This window comes from Homo sapiens, chromosome 7 (genome assembly GCF_000001405.40).
Source record: "Homo sapiens chromosome 7, GRCh38.p14 Primary Assembly".
Taxonomy (NCBI): Eukaryota; Metazoa; Chordata; class Mammalia; order Primates; family Hominidae; genus Homo; species Homo sapiens.
Genome location: NC_000007.14, coordinates 56,735,678 through 56,741,001, shown reverse-complemented (window position 1 = coordinate 56,741,001; position 5,324 = coordinate 56,735,678). Strand labels below are relative to the sequence as shown.

General features: G+C 42.9%; 1 pseudogene; it reads left to right on the top strand.

The window, feature by feature from the left end:
• On the top strand, nt 4,390-4,792 carry LOC728416 (translation machinery associated 7 homolog (S. cerevisiae) pseudogene; annotated as a pseudogene).

The following is a 5,324-nucleotide window of genomic DNA, read 5'->3' as shown; positions in this document are numbered from 1 at the left end:
TGTAATCCCAGCACTTTGGGAGGCCGAGGCAGGCGGATCACGAGGTCAGGATTTCGAGACCAGCCTGGCCAATATGGTGAAACTCCATTTCTACTAAAAATACAAAAATCAGCCAGGCGTGGTGGCATGCGCCTGTAGTCCCAGCTACTCAGGAGGCTGAGGCAGAAGAATCACTTGAACCCAGGAGGTGGAGGTTGCAGTGAGCTGAGATCATGCCACTGCACTCCTGCCTGGGCAAAAGAGTAAGATTCCATCTCAAAAAAAAAAAAAAAGTGGTGGTAGGGTGGATGGGGACCGTGGGGCCTGTAACTTACTAGGAGAGAGGACAGGATGCTTTCATATGGCTATACTTATATTCTTTTTGAAACACATTTCAAAAGGAGAACCACATCATGAATGAATCACATTTATTCATGATCTTGATTTGCATGGCTTAGTGATACTCAAATTTAGTACCATTGCCTAGAACATATTAAATGCTCAATAAGTACCCCTTGCTGAAAAACACTATTATTAACATTCACACTGTCAATGTTTTTTGAGCACATACTAAATGCTGGAGCTGCTATGGTAAATAAGACCAATGTGGGCCAGGCACCATGGTACATGCCTGTGATCCTCGCACTTAGGGAGGCCAAGGTGGGAAGATGGCTTGAGCTCAGGAGTTTGATACCACCCTGGCTAATATGGTGAAATCCTGTCTCTACAAAAATTAGTCGGGCATGATGGCTTGTGCCTATAGTCCCAGCTACTTGGGAGGCTGAGGTGGGAGGACTCTTGAGCCTAGGAAGTCGAGTCTGCAGTGAGCAGTGATTGAGACCATGTCTCCAACAACGACAACGAAAAAGATCAATGTGAGACCTCAAGGAGATTAAATGCTGCTGAGAGAAACAGGCAAAAAAATAAAGACAAATGAATAAATGACAGATTGCAGTTACGTGCTTTAAAGGAAATAAGCAAAATTGCTGAGGTGATGAAGGAAAACATCTAGGGAAAGTTTCTTAATATGAGAACTGTTCCCTTCATTTATAAATTGTTTTTTATCGAATCTATTTATTTATTTATTTGAGACAGAGTCTCACTCTGTTGCTCAGGCTGGAGTGCAGTGGCAAAATCTTGTCTCACTGAAACCCCCACACCTGGGTTCAAATGATTCTCATGCCTCAGCCTACTGAGTAATTGGGATTACACACATGTGCCACCATGCCCAGCTAATTTTTTTGTATTTTTAGTAGAGACGAGGTTTTGCCATGCTGGCCAGGCTGGTCTCAAACTCCTGGCCTCAAGTGATCCACCCACCTCAGCCTCCCCAAATGTTGGGATTACAGGCGTGAGCCACCATGCCCAGCCTATAAATTATTTTTATATATACTAGACCAGTGCTGGTTTAAAGGACTAAATCATACTCTGGTTATGTTTGTTTGTTGTTTGTTGAATTTAGGTCTTGCTGTGCTGCCTAGGCTGGTTTTCAATTCCAGGGCTCAAACTACTGTCCTTTCTCATTATCCTGAGCAGCTGGGATTACAGCCACCCTCTCCTGCCAAAATTACTAAATTAGATACAATTGAGTTATCTGTTTATTTTAAAATCCATTAAGCTATAAATAGGCCAGGTGCGGTGGCTCACGTCTGTAATCCCAGCACTTTGAGAGGCAGAGACGAGAGGATCACTTGAGGTCAGGAGTTCAAGACCAGTGTGGCCAAGATGGTGAAACCCCCGTCTCTACTAAAAATACAAATAGTAGCGAGGTGTGGTGGCAGGTGGTGTAATCGCAGCTACTTGGGAGGAGGCTGAGGCAGGAAAACTGTTTGAACCTGGGAGGCAGAGGTGGCAGTGAGCTGAGATTGGGTCACTGCTCTCCAGCCTTGGTTACACAGGGAGACTCCCTTTCAAACAAACAAAAAACCCTATAAATGAAAGATGACATAGTTGCTAAAATTTTCTTCTGCTTATTTATCTATAATTTTGTTTCAGTTAGTAAGATAAATCATTGGTAATTTCTTTAAAGTTTTTAAACAGATGGTTATAATGCAACATTCCATTACTTGTAGCAACATGTTGCAAATGTTGCTAGATCAAATACTAAGCTTGACCATCCTTCAGGAAAAAAAAAAAAAGCCATGCAATTTTGATAGTTCCTGTATAATCCCAGCAACTAATCCCAGACTTCTGGATTTAATGGGCCAGTGAGGAAAAAATTCAGAGTGGGAGTTGAAAGTATTCACAAAGGGATACCAGCTTTAATTTTTAAAAATGGGAAGAAGATAATATCAGAACACAGGAAGGTCATATAAATTCAATAATTTAGTTTTATGACAGCACATGGTCTTTATTGAACTCATTTTGTCATAAACTGGCAAAAACTGTTAAGGACGTGTGCACATCCATCAGTGTTTATTCATACAATCAAAGACACATGTGGGCTTCTGGTTTGTATACCCAGAAACTGTAATACAGCATTTTGCCTGGAGATGATCAGACTGGATTTCAGGGCTGAGTTCTCACTAAGCCAGCTCATACGCAGGCATTCGTTTATCACTGGAACGTGTATATTTACAGTGAGTCAAGACTCATATCCATTCTGTGATTTCTAGGAATGTTCCCAAACAGAGAATCAGAGTGAATAAAAGCCAAATGGAGTTAGAGGGGTTTAAGGAAAATTTCATGCAGGCTATTAAAAAAAAAAAGTCTTGAATTTTTCCTAGTCCACAAAAGAACATATGCCTTGTGTCTTGAATACTTAGGCTTATCTGATACAGTGTTTGTGTTTTGACAGTGCCGGATTCATACCATTTCTGAGTTGTACTTTCCTTACTGTATAGCTCCCCATTTACTGACTAGAATATATTCTCACGAGCCAGATAAAAAGAGACAACTAATAACTTTATTTAATTTTTGTTTGGATCTTAATTCTTTTTTTTTTTAAGACAGGTCTCACTCTGTCCCCAAGGCTGGTGTACAGTGGCACAGTCTCGGCTCATTGCAACCTTTGCCTCCTGGTTCAAGCGATTCCACAGCCTCAGCCTCCCAAGTAGCAGAGATCATAGGCACATGCTATCATGCCCAGCTAATTTTTGTATTTTTTGTAGAGATGGGGTTTCGCTCGCCATGTTGGCCAGGCTGGTCTAGAACCCCTGAGCTCAAAGCGACCCATTCTTCTCAGCCTCCCAAAGAACAGGCATAAGCTGCTGCACCTGGCCTTCTTAATTCATTTTTAAGTGATAATGATTTTAATAATGGAATGTCTTTCAATGTCCAAAATATATGTGTGTGTACACACACAAACACACACACACACACATATATATGTAAAAGATTGGATGGTAAGATTTACCAGCCAAAATGGCCTATGGAAGAGAATGTGGGTAACAGAGGTAACAGTGGCCTATTTATTTATTTATTTACTTATTTATTTACTTTTGAGGCAGAGTCTTACTTTGTCACCCAGGCAGTAGTGCAGTGGTGCGATCTCGGCTCACTGTGACTTCTGTCTCCTGGGTTCAAGTGATTCTCCTGCCTCAGCCTCCTGAGTAGCTGGGACTACAGGTGCGTGCCACCACACCCAGCTAATTTTTTGTAGTTTTAGTAGAGACAGGGTTTCACCATGTTGGCCAGGCTGGTTACCAACTCTTGACCTCAGGTGATCCGCCTACCTTAGCCTCCCAAAGTGTTGGGATTACAGGCACGAGCCACCGTGCCCGGCCATATTTATTTTTTAATTTAAAAAATTTGTTTTTTAATATAAAGGAGGGGTCTTGAAATGTTTCCCAGGGTGGTTTCCACCTCCTGGGTTCAAGTGATCCTCCTGCCTCGGCCTCCAAAACTGTTGGGATTGCAGGCATGAGCAACCGTTCCTGGTCCGTAGTTTTGTTTCTTTGTTTGTTTATATTTTTTTGTGACAGGGTCTCACTCTTTCACCCAGGCTGGAGTGCAGCAGCTGCTCACTGCAGCCAAAACCTACTGGGCTCATGTGATCCTCCCACCTCAGTCTCCTGAGTGCCACCAATTGTGTGCCACCAAGCCTGACTAATTTTAAAAATTTTTTGAAGAGACCAGGTTTCACTGTGTTGCTCAGGGTGATCTTGAACTTCTGGGCTCAAGCAATCCTCCTGCCTTAGCCTCCTCAAATGTTGGCCCGTAGTTTTAAGTAGTAACTCCTTTTCTGTACTTCTGAAGTTTTTATCATCGTATGTAAAATTTAGTGATGTCACATGAATTTGCTTAAAGTATAGATTATTTTCATAATTCTAGGAAACCAGATATTAAGCACTAAACTTATTCTAGGAGTTTCGTTATTATATATATATATATATATATATATATATATATATATATATATATATGACAAAGCCCCATCTCTATATATTTATAAAACACAAAGGCCATGGGTGGGGAATGGATGGCAGGCACCATGTCTGGCAGCAAAGGTGGCAAGAAGAAGGCCCTGAAACAGCCCAAGAAGCAGGCCAAGGAGAAGGACGAGGAAGATAAGGCTTTCAAGCAGAAACAAAAAGAGGAGCAGAAGAAACTCGAGGAGCTAAACATGAAGGCCGTGGGGAAGTGGCCCCTGGCCACAGGTGGAATTAAGAAATTTGCCAAAAAGTGAGCTGTTGCTTGTGCCTGAGGAAATGGTAACCCTTTATTTCATCCATATTGAAACATCTGTATTCCCTGCCATAACACCTTTTGCCACCTATAGCTGGAATTAAGTGTTGTCTTGGAGCTGTTGTACATTTAAGAATAAACTTTTGTAAAATAAATAAATAAATAAATGCCAGGCGCAGTGGCTCATGCCTGTAATCTCAGTACTTTGGGATGCCGAGGTGGTGGATCACTTGAGATCAGGAGTTCAACCAGCCTGGCCAACATGGTGAAACCCCATCTGTCCTAAAAAAAAAAAAAATGCAAAAATTAGCTGGGCATGATGGTGGTCACCTGTACTTCCAGCTACTCAGGAGGCTGAGGTGGGAGAATTGCTTGAACCCAGGGGGCGGAGGTTGCAGTGAGCCGAGATGCCCACTGTACTCCAGCCTCGGCGACTCCTTCTCAAAAAATAAAAAACACAAAAGTGGCCGGGTGCCGTGGCTCACGCCTGTAATCCCTGCACTTTGGGAGGCAGAGGCGGGCGGATCACGAGGTCAGGAGATCGAGACCATCCTGGCTAACATGGTGAAACCCCGTCTCTACTGAAAATACAAAAAAATTAGCCAGGCATGGTGGTGGGCGCCTGTAGTCCCAGCTACTTGGGAGGCTGAGGCGCGAGAATGGTGAGAACCTGGGAGGCAGAGCTTGCAGTGAGCCGAGATTGTGCCACTGCACTCCAG